General features: G+C 39.4%; 1 protein-coding gene across 1 annotated transcript; it reads left to right on the top strand.

Moving 5' to 3' along the window:
- TASL (TLR adaptor interacting with endolysosomal SLC15A4) lies at window positions 3-18,960 on the top strand. The gene is made up of 3 exons (NM_025159.3): window positions 3-131; window positions 903-1,017; window positions 17,413-18,960. The coding sequence occupies exon 3, from the start codon at window positions 17,414-17,416 to the stop codon at window positions 18,317-18,319; it is 906 nt and encodes a 301-aa protein (NP_079435.1). The 5' UTR covers window positions 3-131; window positions 903-1,017; window position 17,413; the 3' UTR covers window positions 18,320-18,960.

Genomic DNA, 19,659 nt, shown 5'->3' with positions numbered 1-19,659 from the left:
TCAGTCTACTGGTCTCATCAGTGAAAGGCTTGTGAAAATTTCTGGAAAGAGCATTGGCTGGCTTGTTCATCTCTCTGTTTGGTCAGTTGCTGTGTTTCTGCCGGATCAGATGAGCAGATTGGTTAGTGAAGGTAAGAAAAAGAAAGCAAAGGACCCTAGAACTCCGCTATTATTTTTTGTCATCTGTCTTCTCACGCTTTCTTAGCCCTTTATCACGAGAGCGCTGATCCATTCTTATGACATCTAAAATGCTTTTCTAGCTTACCATATCAGAGACAAGTGGGAGTTTAAACAAGCATTCAGTGGAGTTGAAAAATAAAGAGAAATTAAGCCCAATACTTCCTTTCCTTACCTCCTCGTGTCCACATTCTAAGCATTTCTAAAACACTTATATTTTTACCTACAATTTTTGACTGATCTGAGCAAATATTTATTGTGTTATTTTTGCAGTCCTCTTTCACTAATTGCCACACTGGTTTAGCTTCTGCATTTTTAAAAGAAGGCCTAAAAACCTAAGCAGGGTTTTGCAGGGACAACACAGCTCTTGAATTCAGTTACGGTGATGCAGTTTTAGAGACGAAAACAATCACAGTCCTTTCCAATTGGATTTGACTCTCAATTATTCAGTTCAGCAAGCTTGTGATAGTGTTTTTCTGTGTGGCAGGATGTATTCAAAATGAATGCGATCTATAGTGAGGATGCTTTTCGACTTTCATCTGGGTGATTTGGGGAAAGCTTCCCTTTTGGTATTAAAGATAGCGCATGTACGAGTGGAGTTTTGTTTGAATTATCTTTAGACTCGCTCAAACATTCTTTGTCTTGCGCATATGAATCTGTGCTTAAATATAGACCTGGTTTGGACAGAATATTTATATTGATATTTTATAACATTTCTTGCATAGGTCAGTGTGAGAAGAAGATTGTTTCTGAGCTTGAGAAGCTTCTGGAGGATTGAAGAGTATTTGAAGTCTGTGTCAAACATCCATATCATAAGTGGAATTTTGGAGATATTCAAAGGTAGTACACTAATTCTATTATCTCAGAGCAAAATGATGTTTGAAGTATTTATATCAAGTCACTGAGACATTTCTCATCTCATATGTAGTGATTATTTTAGATATATAAGATATTGTCCCTCTAGGCTCTTAATAAACATTATACAATGTAAATATGCCTTCATTAACTAAATATGGTTTTTTCCCCCTCCCAATTTTTATTTAGAAATGTTTCAAATCTATATAAAAATTGAAAGAATAGTACAACGAACACCCATATTTTCATCATGTGTATTAATCAGTGGTATCTTTTTGCCACATTTACTTTCTCTCTCGCTTTGTCTTTCTCTGTCTCTGCCTGTCCTTTTCTCTCTCTCTATATGTGTATATATATATTCACACACACGCATGCACATATGCACAGTTTTTTCCCTGAATGGTTTGAAAGTATGTTGCTGACTTTAGGACACATGTCACCCCTAAATTCTTGAGCATGTATCTCCTAAAAATAAAGGCAGTCTTCTATAACACATTACAACACCACGGAAACATAACATCAACACAATACTATTATCTAAGATGTGATACACATTCAAATTTTCCTAATTATCCACATGTCCTTTAGAATCTTTTTATGTTTTAAATCCAGGATCCAATCAAGAATCTTGCATTGCATTTGTAGTTGACATGCCTACAATTAAGTAAATGTTAATGAAATTGGCATAATTAACATGATTAACAATGATTAACAATTATAACACCAAAGAAATTTATATCAGTACAATACTATTATGATAGGTTTCTTATTTTTTTAGTCCTCTCATTTTGCATCAAAATACATTGAAAGTGATTCAAAAAATGATCCAAAAGGTTTAATTTTTCAATTTATATCAAGAAGGAGTATAAAGAAAAATCCAAACTATGATAAAATATATTTACTAATATTTCTGCACCAAAGTTTACATTTTCTGAACTAAGAAAATTCACACATCAGATCGTCCTTGGAAGTAGCCATTAACTTTGGTCATAAGAATCTAAGCAGAACCAAACAAAAAATTATTTATTTACTTGGTAATATTAATATGAAGAAGAGAGGGCTTTTGATTTATGATTGTATTATCTTAGCCATAAAGTTATACTTTCAGAAATTAATTTGTTAAGAATCACTTCATATTTGATACAAGAATAGATAATCCCAAATTATATGATTTGTAACAGAAATTGAAATATTAATGAGCAATATTTTAGAGCATTCATCAATAAATTCAATACAAGCTGAAATAATAGGGATATAATCTAAGGTATGTGATTAAGTGATTATTTCCAGCTCTAAGGAACAGGTATTTTTAAAGATAAGAGTAAGGAAACTGCAGATGCTATTTTATACAGGGAGGTCCTTCCTAAAGAAGCTTTTTGTTTAGGTAAAGGTCTAGCATCATTCACTGAAAAAAAACTGGAACATGTAATACAGATTTGGTTACATTATCATAATTAAATCATGAACAAAACAATATTCAAGTTTTTCAGTGATCACTTTTCAGCAATTTACCTGCAAGTCCCCCACACCAAGAAAGTCTTAAAAAGTTTACAATGGAATTATGGGATTTAGAATTTATATTATAGGGTAATATAATATAGAGGTAAAGAGATGAAATACAGGATTTTGAGTTTTGCAGGCATTAAAAAATAACACATGACCTACATATGATTTTAACAAGACTCTCTAATTTGAGACAAACATAAATTAGCTCATTTGATTGGAAAATTAAAAAAAAATAATGTGCTAAGGAATGTCAATGAAAACAATCTCAAACATTGCTGGTGAGAGAATAAATTGATCCAAGCTACTTGAAAGGAAATTTGGCAATAGCTTTGATCTGGTAATTCTGCTCCTCCAAATCTGGCCTGTGGAAATACTCACGGAGGCATATGCAATAATTACACATAGTGGAAAAGCAAGACTAATCTCAGTGCCCCTCAAGAGAAATGATTTACTAAAATAAGATGTGTCTTTAGATGTACTATTTCAAAACTCTTAAAAATTATATCTCTGTAAGCAGACATGTTGACAGGTAGAAGCCAAACTGTACCCCTGCTAGCTAGGCTCAAGATCACAAATGTTTTCCTGTCTGTAATTCCAAGATGTTGTAGCCCATGATGGTGGAAGGCAGTCCCATCCCATTGCCTCCATTTGTGTGTGGCCACTAATAGTTTTTGCGTCCATCTCAATCCAGCCTCTTTGGGTGTCTTAGTTTGCACACCTCCAAAATGTTCTTCAAGGGGCGGGATCTGTTTTGCCTCATCATCCAAAACTCCCACACTCCCCACCAATCCTCAATCTTGTTTTTTCCTTTTGCTCGTGTCAATTTTTCCTTCTTTCCAAAGACTATTCCAGTGATTTATCTTTTCTGTTTTATTAAAGTTTCATGCAATCCTGATGAACACCTTGGGGTAGGGGAGAGAAGAGCCAAGAATCCTTTTCTAATTCAGATTCAATGATTCTGAGTAGATGGCCAAGGGTTCTGAAATGTTAACATAGGAGGTGAGACTTGAAGGTTATGGGTGGTGGACCAGAGGATGGATAGGGAACCAGAACTCTCAGGACGGAAGACAAAAAATGCACAAATCCCTGGGATAGGCATGGGGCTCAGGTGAACTGGGAAGGGATCAGCATGACTGGGGTCCTGGGTCCTGTGGGGAACAGGCAGAGATGAGATGAGGAAGACAGACAGGGAGCATACATCACAGGCCTACCCTGTATGGACTTTATCCCTGAGGTGATGGGAAGTGGTTTGTATTTAAACAGAGGATCTGTATTATTTGTTTATTTATTTAATTTATTTATTTTTTATTTTTGAGATGGAGTCTTGCTCTGTCACCCAGGCTAGAGTGCAGTGGTGTGATCATGACTCACTGCAACCTCTGCCTCCTGGGTTCAAGCAATTCTCCTGTCTCAGCCTCCCGAGTAGCTGGGACTACAGGTGCTCGCCACCACACCAGGCTAATTTTTGTGTTTTTAGTAGAGACAGGGTTTCACCATATTGGTCAGGCTGGTCTTGAACTTCTAACCTCAGGTGATCCACCCACCTCAGCCTCCCAAAGTGCTGGGATTACAGGCATGAGCCACCACGTGCAGCCTGTAATATTAAATCACCCTGTGAAAGATGGTTGCAAAATTAAAGATGAGGCGATGCCAGGCTATAGCAGTGTCATGGTTTAGGAAAATGTTCATATGGTTAGATTAAAAAAAAGAGGATAAATTAATTGTATTCCTCAAAGACATATGAGCATCGATACATAATTGGGACATATGTGTAGTCATCTGGGCCACCCCTCTGGGGTGAGTGCTGACTTTCCCCTGGAGCCTTCCTTTCTGCACTTCACTGCACCTTCCTTCTTTTATTTGGCAAGTGCTGTTGTTACTACATGGAATCAGGGCTGATGCCCTTTTCCTGGAAGGACTAATTGCGTGTTATTATGACTGCGTGATACTAACTGCTCTTAACTGTACAATAGTGTGATATGTTCTAAGAACAGAACACACACTTTGGAGTTTGTAAACTTGGGCTTGAATCTTGCCTATAGTACTTAGTAGCTGTGTGGCCTTGGAAGGGGTATTTATCATACCTGAAACTCAGTTTTCTCATTTGGAAAATCTAGATAATGATAAAGAGAAAAAAATTAAAAGATTTTTAAAAGGATATGATCATATCTAGATTATGATAATATCTAATCTGCAGTGTTGTTGGAAGGTTAAGGGCTATGCCTGGAAAGCACTCGGCATACAGCTGTCATTATTATGATGCGTATCCCATTTATTGCGTCTGCTTTTTGACTTAGGTCAAGGGTAGGTAAGCCACAGCCCAGGACCAAATTGGCCCCCTGCTTGTTTTTGTAAACTTTAGTAGGAGCCCAGACACAATCATTTGTTTACATATTGTCTATGGTTACTTTCCTGCTAGGCCAGCAGGGCTGCAACAGAGTTTGTATGATTTGCAAAGTCTAAAATATTAACTCTCTGGCCTTGTATAAAAAAAGTTTGCTGATCCCTAACTTAGGTGTTTTAAACGTTCCCCCTTATAAAGTTCTTCTTTCCTTAGGTTTTCTCTTTGACTCCACGCTTGTGTTGTTTAGATGTAAATTAAAAGTGTGTCCTTTGATCAGCATGCTCAAAGGATACAAAATTACAGTTATATAGAAGGAATAAGTTCAAAGGATCTCTTGTACAGCATGGTGACTACAGTTGATGATCTATCATATTCTTGAGAAATGATAAGAAACTGAATATAAGTATTCTCACCACAAAAATAATAACTGTGAGCTAATATATATGTTAATTAGATAGATGTTGCCATTTCACAATATACACACTTCAAAATACCATATTATACATGAGAAATTCATACAATTTTATCTGTCAATTTTAAAAAATCAATCAAAAATGTGTCTATGTGAAGAAGTGATAACAACAGCTTTCTGAAAAACTAAATGCTCATCTAGAAAGAGAACTTACATTGCAGTTTCTTCTGAAAAGCAAGTAAATGATTTAACAAGGCACTGCACTTTAGCACATATTTCTAAGTTGTGAATTTGCACATAAGGTTAATTTTGGCATTCCCCTATCTGTTAATGATTAATGTGGGCTAAAATTGCCTATAACATCTCCTCTGCAAATATTCTCAGGTGTCTTTTCCTTCACGCCTAACCAATCAGGGAGAATTTTATACATTTTATATATGTATATTTTATATGTAATATATATAGCTTTACATATATATAGCTTTATATATATATAGCTTCTCTAAGATGAGAAACAAGAATTCAAGTGACAAAATATCATTGAACAATTAAAGTAATCCATTGGGTTAAATTTTGATGTCTCAGATGAAATCAAGTCTAACAAATATGTTAACATCTGTTTGAAGTGTACCTTTTATATACCCTTGAAGAGACCCAGTGATATCTTATTAGAATTTCAAAAATAATGGAAAATTATTAAGAAAAATGCAAAAATCAGTCAAAATAAACCCAATTAACTTTTCTTGATGTCTCTACTCTAAAATTTGAGGATATTGTGATGTGCAATGCTGTCTTTATTCTAGTGGTGCATTAAAGGGTGCAGTAATGCCCCCCCCCCCTTTTTTTTGAGATGGAGTCTCGTTCTATCGCCCCGGCTGAAGGGCAGTGGCCCGATCTCAGCTCACTGCAACCTCTGCCCATGACCCCACCCCATTCAAGCGATTCTCCTGCCTCAGCCTCCTGAGTAGCTGGGATTACAGGCATGCACCACCACGCCCTGCTAATTTTTTGTATTTTTAGTAAAGATGGGGTTTTGTCATGTTGGCCAGGCTGGTCTCAAACTCCTGACCTGAGGTGATCCACCTGCCTTGGCCTCCCAAAGTGTTGAGATTACAGGCGTGAGCCACCACGCCTGGCCAAATGGGTTTCTTTCTTTCTTTCTTTCTTTCTTTCTTTCTTTCTTTCTTTCTTTCTTTCTTTCTTTCTTTCTTTCTTTCTCTTTCTTTCTCTTTTTCCTTCCTTCCTTCCTTCTTTCCTTCTTTCCTTCTTTCTTTCCTTCTTTCTTTCTTTTTCTGAGACTAAATTTTGCTCTTGTTGTTCAGGCTGGAATGCAGTGGCGCAATCTCAGCTCACCACAACCTCCACCTCCCGGGTTCAAGCGATTCTCCTGCCTCAGCCTCCCGAGTAGCTGGGATTACAGGCATGTGCCACCACGCCAGACTAATTTTGTATTTTTAGTAGAAATGGGGTTTCTCCATGTTGGTCAGGCTGGTCTCGAACTCCCGACCTCAGGTGATCCACCCACCTCGGCCTCCCAAAGTGCTGGGATTATAGGTGTGAACCACTGCACCCGGCCTTGAATGGGCCCTTTTAAGTGCATTAAAGTGGAAGATGAATTGAAGCAAAGGGCCTAAACTAGGAAATTAATTATGAAGATTAAATGTGTTAATATATGTATTTTTGTTTATAAATTTTATGTATTATTACTCTGCATAGCTTTAGAAAGGTCTTTTAAAAGCCTCCTTAGTGTGCTCTCTGCTGCCCTCTGCTGCTAATTTTCAGAAATTAATTTTGATTCTGATTAATGCTCACTTTATTCTTCATAATCTCATTCAAAATTAAAGTTTGATGGTACTCTAGACATAATTTAATCCCACATTCTCAATTTACAGATGATAAGTTGAGTGTCTGAGAGGTTAAGAACATGAACTTGGGCTCTGTTTCCTGACTGCTGGTGATTTTGGACACTACTCAATTTTGTCATCTGTAAAATGAGCATAATAATAGTACCTAAATATTAGAGTTTTTTTGTGATGATCAATTAATTTAGTACATAAAAAGCACTTAGAATATTATCTGGGTTGTAGCTAGTACTATGTTAGCTATTTTATAGATCTGGCAACAACTAAACTAAAACCACTGCTAGTGACAAGATCAGAGAACTCTGGTCTCTTAAATACTAGTGCGTGCTCTCTCTCTTTCTCTTCATATATATGTGTGTGTGTGTGTGTGTGTGTGAGAGAGAGAGTATTTATGTACACACACATATATATTTTATAAAATATATACAATTCTCCATGATTTGTTAAGTGTGAAGGAAAAGACACTGGAAGACGTTTGTAGATGAGATGTTCTAGGTAACATACATATATTTATATATATACACCACATATGTATATTGCCTGAATGAGTATGAAATTAAATTTTGCCTTCAAATATAGATTTTTTTTTTTCTTTTTAGACAGAGTCTTGCTCTGTCGCCAGGCTGGAGTGCAGTGGCGCTATCTGGGCTCACTGCAATCTCCAATCTCCACCTCCTGGGTTCAAGTGATTCTCCTGCCTCAGCCTCCCGAGCAGCTGGGATTATAGGCACACGCCACTACCCCCAGCTAATTTTTGTATTTTTAGTAGAGACGGGGTTTCACCATGTTGGCCAGGATGGTCTCGAACTCCTGACCTTGTGATCCATCCACCTCGGCCTCCCAAAGTGCTGGGATTATAGGTGTGAGCCACCGTGCCCGGCCCGAATATAGATTTTTAAAATGTGACTTGTTCAATGCATCCAAAGCTCTTGTAGTCTTTACAAAGCCCTTGCTGCTGCTCCTTCCTCCTTGTACTGTTCCAGGTAGGCTCCCCATAGAAGAAGTTACAAACCTAGAAAGCTCCTCAAGCCCCCAATATAAATTCCTACTGCCTGCAAGTGGAAGGTGACTTCACTGTGGACTTTAAGTAGCTTCTCTAATGAGCTGCCTACCTGAATTTCCAATGGACAATTACACACTTGCACCCAGACAGTCTATCTCTTGTCAGGCTCAAGAAGAGCTAAGCTAAACCCATTGCTTCCTCCACAGCTCCTCCTGATCTTCCCATTTTGGTCAATGATGGTGCCATTTCCCCTACATACCCACACTCAGAGTTACTTTTGGCTCCTCTCTCTCCTTCACTTCCATGTCTGGGGGTCTTGGTCTCTCAAATGCATTCCTTCTCTTTCTTTTCTCCTACCTCCCTCCTGGTTCCTGTCCCAGTCATCTCAGGCTGGGATGAATCCAACAGCCTCCTAACTTGGGTCCTTAATACCAATCTCACTCTGCTGAAATTAATTTTGCACTTTATTGCCATATTATATCATGTGGTGAATCAGCTTCCTTACCTGCCAGAACGTTGCAGTGCCTACAGGATGAATCAAATGTACTCAGTCTTGGATGTCCCAACTTACCTCCCTGACCTGACCTTATCTCCCACTCCTCCCTCTCAGAAATCTTTTTTCCTTTTTTTTTTTTTTTTGCTGGGGACGTGTCTATCCCTAGACACTAGGATGCACTTTCTGTTTTTCCGTCATCAGACCCACCACTTTACTGGTCTGTCTTGGGTCCTACACATCAGAATGATAGGGTTCTTATTCTGCCAGAATTAAGATACCAGCAAACCTCTCAGTTGACAACCAATAGGAAAAGGGGCCCATTACTGTACTCAAAATAAAATTCTAGGCCCTTTTCCTTCATTGTTATGAAGGAGTGTGGAGATTATCAGGAGTACTTATAAAACTCATCTGCATACAATGAAAGAAGACTCTGTTAGGGTTGATTGTTTAATATGAAGAAAAATAAGATAAATAGTGGGAGACTTGGAGTGTGTCTGAATGGGGATAAGGGGTCCTAAAGGGGGGATTCGGCAAACTGGGACATTTCAAGAAAGGCTCTTAGGTGAGCATGACACTGACAAACAATGCTTGCGCCCCACCTACATTGGTGTCTGTTACTGACCCACATGAAATTGACAACACAAACCTCTTCACTTTTATTGCCCTTCTCTCCTCTGTCTGCAATGTTTTCCCTCTTTTCACTGCCATTGGAATCCTTTCTGTCTGTAGGGCCAAATAAAGGTTAACCTGTCACACAGTCATCTCTCTCTCTTCTTCACCCTTAGAATATGCAATATCTTTAACCACAAACAGCTGTACAGGAAATGCCATCTTCTTCTCCCCCCACCCCCTTAGTTACTATTTATTTATTTATTTGAGACAGAGCCTCACTCTGTCATCCAGGCTGGAGTGCAGTGGCACGATCTCGACTCACTGCAACCTCCGCCTCCCCAGTTCAAGTGATTCTCCTGCCTCAGCCTCCTGAGTAGCTGGGATTACAGGCGTCTGCCACCACGCCCGGCTAATTTATGTATTTTTTAGTAGAGATGGGGTTTCATCATATTGGCCAGGCTGGTCTCTAACTCCTGACCTCAGGTGATCCGCCCTCCTTGGCCTCCCAAAGTGCTGGGATTACAGGTGTGAGCCACCGTACCTGGCCCTTAGTTACTTTAAAATATTTATCTTTAGTTTTTATTTTAATTAAAAATTTAATCACAGTTATACTTGCACATAAATTGGGTCAAATAATTCTGAGAAATTTGTTATGAAAAACTGCTGTCCTTGACTCCTTTTCCAGAAGCAACTACTTTTATCTCCCTTAACTAATTACTTGATATTTACCATCATTTCTTTAAATAGCATGCTGTGTTGCAACTTTTGGATTTTTCAGTTTGGGGCATTATTTCTTGACTTGTCATCATGAAGAGGAGGATTTATTTCTCCTTCCTCCCCTGGCTTCACCAAGCATATACAACTTTGTCCCCTTCCTCTCACTATACAGAGTGGCCGCCTAGTCTGGACTCACAGGCAAATGCCTAGGATGATTTTTATTGGTATCACTGTACTATATGTACATTAAAATAGTATTTTATATATACATGATATTCTGCCATATATGATAAAAATATTTTATCTTTGTGTACTGACTTCATGGTCACCCTGTGGTTATATTTTAAATTGAGTTAGATCTATTTTCAGTGCTTTATATTATCATGTGCTATATTATCATGACTATATAAAAGCTATTTATAACTCAGCCATATAGTAGACCATGGGTTGTTTTTGTTTTGCTTTGTTTTTTCACAACACAACTTTCTTTCTTTTTTTTTTTTTTTCTTGAGACATGGTCTGGCTCTGTTGCCCAGCCTGGAGTGCAGTGGCACAATCACAGCTCACTGCTGCCTCAAACTCCTGGGCTCAAGCGATCCTCCCACCTCAGCCTGCCAAGTAGCTGGGACCACCACGCCTGGCTAATTTTTGAATTTCTTGTAGAGATATGATCTCCCTACATTGCCCAAGCTGGTCTCAAACTCCTGGGTTTAAGTGATTCTCCCGCCTCAGCCTCCCAAAGTGCTTGGATTACAGGCATGAGCCACTGTGCCTGGCTTTACTGCTACACAACTTTCTTAACATTATCAATTGGAGATTATAATTGTCTAGATCTGTGATGTCTATATGGCAGCTACTAGCCAAGTGTGGCTATTTAAATTAAATTATATTAAATCAAATTAAAATTTCAGTCACAGTAGCCACATTTTAAGCAGCTATTGGCTATCATATTGGAAAGCACAGATATTGGACATTTTCATCACTTCAAGACGTTCTATTGGATAGCACTTTTGTCACCTCAGAGATGACCTAAAAGAATGCACAATTAAAATGAAAATATCTTTACAATTTTTCGTTGAACAATTCACACAGGCATTCCAGACTTCTCCAAATAGAAGCATTTAAAAAACTTTAAAAGAAATTCTATATCATCTTTGTTTCAAAATAATGAAACAAAAAAAAGTCTCAAATAAGTGTTCTAATCCCATTTCATTACCCAACATCTAATAGTTTATGCTCTGGCTTTACCATCTCTCTTTTTTTTATTTGTTTGTTTTTGAGACAGAGTTTCACTCTGCCATCCAGGCTGGAGTGCAGTGGCTCAATCTCGGCTCACTGCAACCTCCACCTCCTGGGTTCAAGCGATTCTCCTGCCTCATCCTCCTGAGTAGCTGGGATTGCAGGCATGCGCCACCATGCCTGGCTAATTTTTGTATTTTTAGTAAAGACGGAGTTTCACTATGTTGGCCAGGCTGGTCTCAAACTTCTGACCTCATGTGATCCACCTGCCTCGGCTTCCCAAAGTGCTGGGATTACAGGCATGAGCCACCACGCCTGGCCTGGCTTTACTATCTTTTGTTAGCTCCTTTCTGACATCCCTTGAAAGGAATACAGAAACAAATTAATTACTCAGATGTTACTTTAGTATGCTAAAAATAACTGTCATAGTATGCTATAATGGCGATCAACCAATGAACTTTAAATTGCAATTATAGGCTGGGTGCAGTGGCTCATGCCTGTAATCCCAGCACTTTGGGAGGCCAAGGTAGGTGGATCGCTTCAGGTCAGGAGTTCGAGACCAGCCTGGCCAACATGGTGAAACCTCATCTCTACTAAGAATACAAAAATTAGCTGGGAGTGGTGGCGTGCACCTGTGGTCCCAGCTACTCGGGAGGCTGAGGCACAAGAATCACTTGAACCTGGGAGGTGGAGGTTACAGTGAGCCGAGATCACACCACTGCATTCCAGCCTAGGTGAAGGAGTGAGACTGTCTCAAAAAACAAAAAAACAAAAAAACAAAAAAAATACTGCAGTTATAATTAGCAATCTTCAGTATTTAAAAATTTTATGTTATCACCTTCACTATTTTCTAAGTCTTTGCTGTTCCATAGAGTAGTCATGTGACAATTAAAATTAATTTAAACTAAATTAAAAATTGAGTTGCCTTAGCCATATTACAAGTACCCAATAACTACATGTAGCTATTGGCTGCCATTTTAGACAACACAGATATAGATCATTCCATCATCCCAGGAAGCTCTGTTGGACAGTGCTGGTCTAGATTTTTCATTTGCTTAGCTTTTTCTAATTTATCCCCAAAGTTTGTAGTCAATTGTATAAATTGTATTTCATGATGGTCAGACCTTTTCAGTTGTCTTCAATTTTATCTTTAGCTTCAGAAGCCTTCCGATCTGTTCTAATCAGCCTGGTTGCCTTTTAAGCCTGTTACATATGCAGCTTTCATCCCAGAATGTCTTTTCACTGTCATCATGGGTAGGTCTCCTCTTCACAACTTCTGGGCCTAGGACAAAAAATGGGGAGCCTCAGTCTTCAGCCCTTCCATCTGCTTTTCCCAGTCCTGGCTATCCTTGACATTCAGCCCATACACCTAAGCTCTGTCTACAGCCCTCACTAAAAACCACCTCTTCATCATCTTTTGGGCCTAGAGGTGTGTGCATGTTCAGTTTCCCCAAGTCTGCCCTAATCATGATGGATTTGGGGAGGAGCCTGTGCAGACTCTGTAATTGGGTCTGCCATCTGAGCAGGGAATTCTGAGGTCCTGAATACTAGAAGTGTGAGATAGAAGGCAGCAGTATAGAGGCTGGGTGGCCTCCCATCATGTTGGACTCTAGAACTCCTTACCCTGTTGGGAGAGGTGCAACTTAAGGAGGGCCAGAGTGAGGCCCTTTACATTGCAGGGTTTAGAACAAGGGCTCAGGCTATCCGAGTTTAAGGGCTGTTTGTTTCTCTCCTGTGCTGGATTTCCTGTTTCCTGTATCCTTTGTCTCCATTTTATTGTTTTACTTACTCCTTTCAGTGGAGCACATAGTCTATTGACTTTCTGAGAAAGGTGCTTGGAAAATCAGCTATTTGAGACTTGTAACCTAGAAATATATTTATTCTATCATCATACTTAATTGATAACTTGGTCTCGGTTGAAAATAACTAGTTGAATTAAAATTCAGAATTTGTAGACATTTTTTCATTGTCTTATTGTTTCTTATGTTGCTGTTGAGAAGTCTGAAGATTCTGGTTCTTGGTCTTTTTTTGTGACTCTTTTTTTCATTCTGGAAGCTTATAGGATCTTCTCTTTGTCCCAAGTGTTCTATCATTTCACATTCATGAGAGGAGGTATAGATCGATTTTCACTCACTATTTTGATAACTTATGTCTTTCCATTCTGGGAAATATTCTTAAGTTGTGTCTTTGAATTTCTCCTCTGTTTTCTCTGGTCTCTCTTTCTGAACCTCCTATTATTCAGATAATAGATCTCCTGGACTGGTCCTCTCTAGTTTTATTTTCCATCTTGTAATTTTGTTCTGCTTTCAAAATAATAATTTGCCTCACCTTTACTTTTCAATCCTTCCATTGAGGTTTAAAATTATCATTTTTAATTTCTAACAGCTTCAGAATTCTTCTTTTTTATAGCATCCAATTTGTAATTCATGATTATATTATACCTTAACTCTTTAAGAATATTGATGGTAGAATCTGCCACCTCCTTCACCCTACCCTAAGTTTGTTTCCTCTAAATGACTATTTTGATGTTTCTCATATCAGACTTTTCCTCAGATGTTTCAGAATTCTACTCATACTTAAGGATAAAGATCCAAAAAGCTCAATAGGCTCTATTAATTGTGGGCTTAAATAAAGGATGATCTGGTTGCCTGTTGAGTTGGGGAACCTCTGATGTCAATTGCTCTTCTTCTCAGACAAGTCAGATTCCCCAAAACATTCTTCCCAATATCCTGCCTAGAAGGTGGATACTCCTCTTGCTAGCATTCTTGGAGCTGAGTAAGGGGAGAGAGGTCATGGATCTCAGCAAAAATATGCGTATGTTTATTTAATTGATCTATTATCAATTCAGTAACTTTACCCTCAACTGGTATTCCCTACTCCAGAGACCCTCTGTTTCACTCTTTAGAGACTACATTTCAAGTTTTTCTTTGGGGTTAAGGATGGGGAGTGTCACCTGGCTGCATGGCCAGGTGTGAAAGATGATCTGGGTTTCTGACTGCTTTTTAAATAGATTTTCGATATTTCTTACTTTAGGTATATCCCCTTTACTCTCATTCCAAAAAGGCATCTGGTACCACCAATTCCTCAACATTTAGGGGAATTTAAGTCAGATTGGCTCTTCGCTTTCCCCATGTGTATTAGTCCATTCTCATGCTGCTATAAAGAACTGCCTGAGACTGGGTAATTTATAAAGGAAAGAGGTTTAATTGACTCAGTTCTGCAGGGCTGGGGAGCCTCAGGAAACACAATCATGGTGGTAGGCACCTCTTCACAGGGTGGCAGGAGAGAGAATGAGTGCCCAGAGAAGGGGAAAACCCCTTATAAAACCATTGGATCTCGTGAGAACTAACTCTCTATCACGAGAACAGGATGGGGGAAACCACCTCCATGATTCAATGATCTCCACATGGTCCCTCCCACGACACGTGGGGATTATGGGAACTACAATTCAAGATGAGATTTGGGTGGGGACACAGCAAACCATATCACCATGGCTCTTGTAAGATTCAGTTTTCTTAGGTCTCCTGTCATTAATCCTCAATCTCCTGCTTCTCAGCTTCTAAAATGTTGTTGTACTGGTCTCTTCTCCTGTTGTTTTTTTTTTGTGTGTGTATTTGTGTGTGTGTGTGTGTGTGTGTGTGTGTGTGTATTATACCTTTTTAAAAACCATTTATTGTTGTTTTAGTGAAGTTTGGAAAGGAAAAAAAAATACATGCATGTGCCTATTCTGCTATCTTTCCTAGGGATCCTTGCTTTCTTCAACCTCAATTGGATATCTTTTTTGAGCTCACTTTCTCCAGAGTGGTGGGAAAGTACTCACTGTCAATCAGGATTTCCTCAGTCACTTCAGGGCTCCCTCCTCCTTGGATGTGCGTCTAAGTTTTAGATTGTTTATATAAAACCTTAGGGTCAGCTGAGGATGGGAGTGGGTGGGGGATATCTTTGGTTGTCATCATGTAGCCATACTGGTATCCATGGCAACTTACCATTCATCTGGTCCCTGGTTTGTAGTCTATGGAGATCATGTCTGCGATCTTTCCACCCCAACTGTAGGTCTTCTCCAGGATTTGAGGCTCTCAGCAGCATGCTGATGTGTGAGCAGACTTGATGAGGCAGCCTCATGCTGGCCCGCCCAGGTGATCTGTGTGGCTGTCTCTCCTTCTGCTCCTGCACCATGCCGGGCATGAGATAATTTTGCAAACCTGTCTACTCTTGGCTCCCAAATCTCTCTGGAGACATACTTTTTCCCTCCATGGGGGACTCAGTCTACTTAAGTTTATTATTAGTGCATAAATATTATGCCTTAAGTCCTTCATGGTTCTGGATTCTGAGGTGTAAAAGCTCAGGTTATGGTTTCTCAAAAGTCATTTCTCCCAAACGATTATTTCTGCCAGGAGTTTCTAAAGCCCATTTAGATACTCAAAAGTCAACGATCATTTATGCTCTGATTTTCCACAATGATATTCTGAGGACTTGAAGGCAGAATGCCCTAGCTAAAGCCTAGGTGGGGGTAGGGTGTTGAGGGCCAGGAAGTAAGTGCATCCCCATTAGTTCTTTATGATAAACTCTTTCTCTGTTTCTTATCTTTCCGTGTAGGTAAGATTGGCCTTTTCACCTGCATATTAGGTTTGAGGGCAGAACTTCACATAGATTTTAAAGGAGAGGACAACTTTTTTTTTTTTTTTAATCCTTATAAGTGTGTTCAGCATACAGAAATTACTTCATGGATTTGTTGAAGACCTTTAGCTTAGTGTCTTCATGGCACATAACTGTGCCCAGAATATAGTAAACATTAAAAAAATTGAGATTTGCTAAATAAACCAGGAATAGTTCCAAAAGAGAAAAAAAAAATTACTATCTTACCCTTATACAATTTTTAAAAAAGGGAAACATTTTATTTACCTGGGAAACAATAATTACATGAATGTAAAAGAGATGTTAACAATTTTTAAAAGGACCTTTATGTATGGTTAAAAAAATCCTTCTTTTCTTATTTGACATTACAAGTTCAGGCTCAAGTTGACAGGTCTGTTTCAGAAGCCCAGCTCTCGAGGCCCAAGAGGACCAGTTTTCCTTGCTGTTGCCTTTTGCCCCAGTGCCGGGAATGCCAGTGTGTTCTGTTTTTAGAAAATGCAGCTGCTGGTTTCTAGCCTGTTCTAGCCACTCTAGACCAGTGACAATTGCTGGGGGTAGGGAGGGGAGGCAGATGTGGGGAAAGTCTATGGTCAGAAAAGCTCCTTGGTAACTAGGAGGTAAACACATCAGTTAGATACAGAGACATTTTCAGGATGTATTCTGAGAACTGGGAGGGAGAGAGAAGGAAATTTATTCTGGGATACAAAGGCAGGGTAGGCTTTGTGGTACTTCATGATGTGTTGAGCACAAATTAATTTCATACCATGTCATTGTTGAAAATTCTTTAACTCAAATTAACAAATACCTTTTGAGTCTCTGTAGAAATGCAAGTAACTGTGCTAGCTCCTAGGGATCCAATACAAAGTTAAGTAAGACACAGCACTTGTTTTCAGTAGAATTTGCCACAGATTTTCTCATTGTTTTGCTCATAATCCACTAGCCATGTTTCTCTCCAATCTGCAACTTCTAGATCACTGTTCATTTCCTACGGGGCAGAATGTAAATGCTTTTGCCTGACTGCCAAGGCTCTTCACGATCCAATTTCAGCCTATTTTCCCAATTCCTTCTGCTTGTGCTCAGCTTCTTTGTATGTGGTGAGTAGGTCATGCCACCATATTATCTTATAAGCCTGTTCCTATGGCTGGAACTCCTAATTACTCTTTAGCATTCAGCTGAAATATCACCTTCCCTATGACACATCCTGTGACTTCTCCCCCTTTGCCCCAGGCTAAGTTAGGGACCCCCCCACCCCTGTACTTCCTTTTTACCTATCACTATTATAATCCTCAGTGATACAATGTTGGAATTGTTTATATCTAGTTGATTTTTTCCTATAGTGGGAAACTTCCTGAAGGATGGAATTGTGTGCTTTTCATTTTTATATCCTTAGCACATGCCATAGTCCTGGTACACAGTAGGCACAGAATTAGTACGAGCTTGGTGAATGAATAAAGTGAATTTATTCATTGTCCTTATTTTTTGATATATCAAGTGCCAACTTCTAAAATTTCAGTATTCTTTTTCCCCATTCTTACTCATCAATTCTCTTTCCAGAATGCTGTCAGAAGGGTATCTCAGTGGACTTGAGTACTGGAATGACATCCACTGGAGTTGTGCCTCTTATAATGAGCAGGTGGCTGGGGAAAAGGAAGAGGAGACAAATTCTGTTGCTACCCTTTCCTATTCCTCTGTGGATGAAACACAAGTCAGAAGTCTCTACGTGAGCTGCAAATCATCTGGCAAGTTTATCTCTTCAGTGCATTCAAGAGAGAGCCAACATAGCAGAAGTCAGAGAGTCACAGTGCTGCAGACAAACCCCAATCCTGTGTTTGAAAGCCCAAACTTGGCTGCAGTTGAAATATGTAGAGATGCCAGCAGAGAGACCTACTTGGTTCCATCTTCTTGCAAAAGTATTTGCAAGAATTATAATGACTTACAGATTGCAGGGGGCCAGGTGATGGCCATTAATTCAGTGACAACAGATTTTCCCTCTGAGAGCAGTTTTGAATATGGCCCTTTGCTGAAGTCATCTGAGATTCCTTTACCCATGGAGGATTCCATTTCTACTCAGCCCAGTGACTTTCCCCAAAAACCTATCCAGCGGTACTCATCCTATTGGAGAATAACAAGCATCAAAGAGAAAAGCAGCTTGCAAATGCAGAATCCTATTTCTAATGCAGTTCTGAATGAGTACCTGGAGCAGAAGGTTGTGGAGTTATATAAACAGTACATTATGGACACCGTGTTTCATGACAGTTCTCCTACCCAGATTCTGGCGTCTGAACTCATCATGACAAGTGTAGACCAAATCAGTCTTCAAGTGTCTAGAGAGAAGAATCTGGAGACCTCAAAAGCCAGAGATATAGTCTTTAGCCGCCTATTGCAATTGATGTCAACTGAAATTACTGAAATTAGCACTCCTAGTCTCCATATTTCTCAGTATAGCAATGTAAATCCATAGAGAGGATGCTTCCATTACTGTCTCGCATTTACTTAAACATGAAGCAACACTTTATCCATTTATTCTGAGAATGTGCAGGAGGGGTTAGTGAAGGGGAATTAAGGGCTAGAGAAGTAAAGATCAGCTGGAAGTCATGTGTGAATCATGGAGAAATCTCATAATATTACACTTGATGAAGGAATATGGTAAGAGGAGCCATAAGGAATGATTTCAAAGAGAGGTGTGTACAGCAAGGAAGCAAAAATAAAAATGATCAAAAAAGAAACGGTTAATTCATTTGAAGAAACATAGGAATTAAAAAAGAAGACAGTCAAATGAGATGAAACAAAAAGGCCAAAAGGTGGCCGGGTGTAGTGGCTCACGCCTGTAATCCCAGCATTTCGGAGGCTGATGTGGGTGGATTACCTGACGTCAGGAATTCGAGACCGGCCTGGCCAATATGGTGAAACCCCATCTCTACTAAAAATACAAAAAATTAGCTGGACATGGTGGTGGGTACCTGTAATCCCAGCTACTAGGGAGGCTGAGGCAGGAGAATCTCTTGAACCTGAGAGGCAGAGGTTGCAGTGAGCCGAGGTCGCTCCATTGCACTCCAGCCTGGGCAACAAGAGTGAGACTCCCGTCTCAAAAAAAAAAAAAAAGTCAAAAGGTTTCAGGGTAAAGAGTTAAGAATATATTTGTTACCCAAATAAATTCATCCAACTTGTTTCTTTTTGAAGGAGATGGACTGTAGAAGGCTGCTATATTTGGGTAGAAAGATAGGGTCAAACAGTTTTCAAAATATGTTTATCTCTCCTTTGTCTATTCTGTATCAGATCATTTAAAGGTATATTGTTTGTAAATATTAAAACTGTAACAAATTATAATTGTGTTTTTATTTTTGAATGGTTTCTTAGTTACAGACACAGCCACAAAACAGCCACTCAAATCTCCTACATCTGTTTCCTGGTAGAGATGAAGTTGTCTAAATGAAAAACACCACATAGCACTAAACCATTTAGTGTTATTTTGCTGTGTTTGATTTTCTTGGTACTAAGCTTCAAAAGAAATTATGAGACCAGGTGCGGTGGCTCATGCCTGTAACCCCAGCACTTTGGGAGGCCGAGGTGGGTGGATCACCTGAGGTCAGGTGTTTGAGACCAGCCTGGCCAACGTGGCGAAACCCTGTCTCTACTAAAAATACAAAAATTAACCGGGCATGGTGGCAGGCGCCTGTAATCCCATCTGCTTGGGAGGCTGAGGCAGGAGAATTGCTTGAACCCAGGAGGTGGAGGTTGCAGTGAGCCAAGATTGCACCATTGCACTCCAGCCTGGGCGACAAGAGCGAAACTCCGTCTCAA

The sequence above is a fragment of the Homo sapiens genome, chromosome X, assembly GCF_000001405.40.
Source record: "Homo sapiens chromosome X, GRCh38.p14 Primary Assembly".
In the NCBI taxonomy this organism is placed as follows: Eukaryota; Metazoa; Chordata; class Mammalia; order Primates; family Hominidae; genus Homo; species Homo sapiens.
This window is presented reverse-complemented; position numbering and strand designations above follow the sequence as displayed.

Bases quoted from the DNA above. Each gene is read 5' to 3' on its own strand.
- TASL (NM_025159.3), top strand. From the start codon at position 17,414: ATGCTGTCAGAAGGGTATCTCAGTGGACTTGAGTACTGGAATGACATC.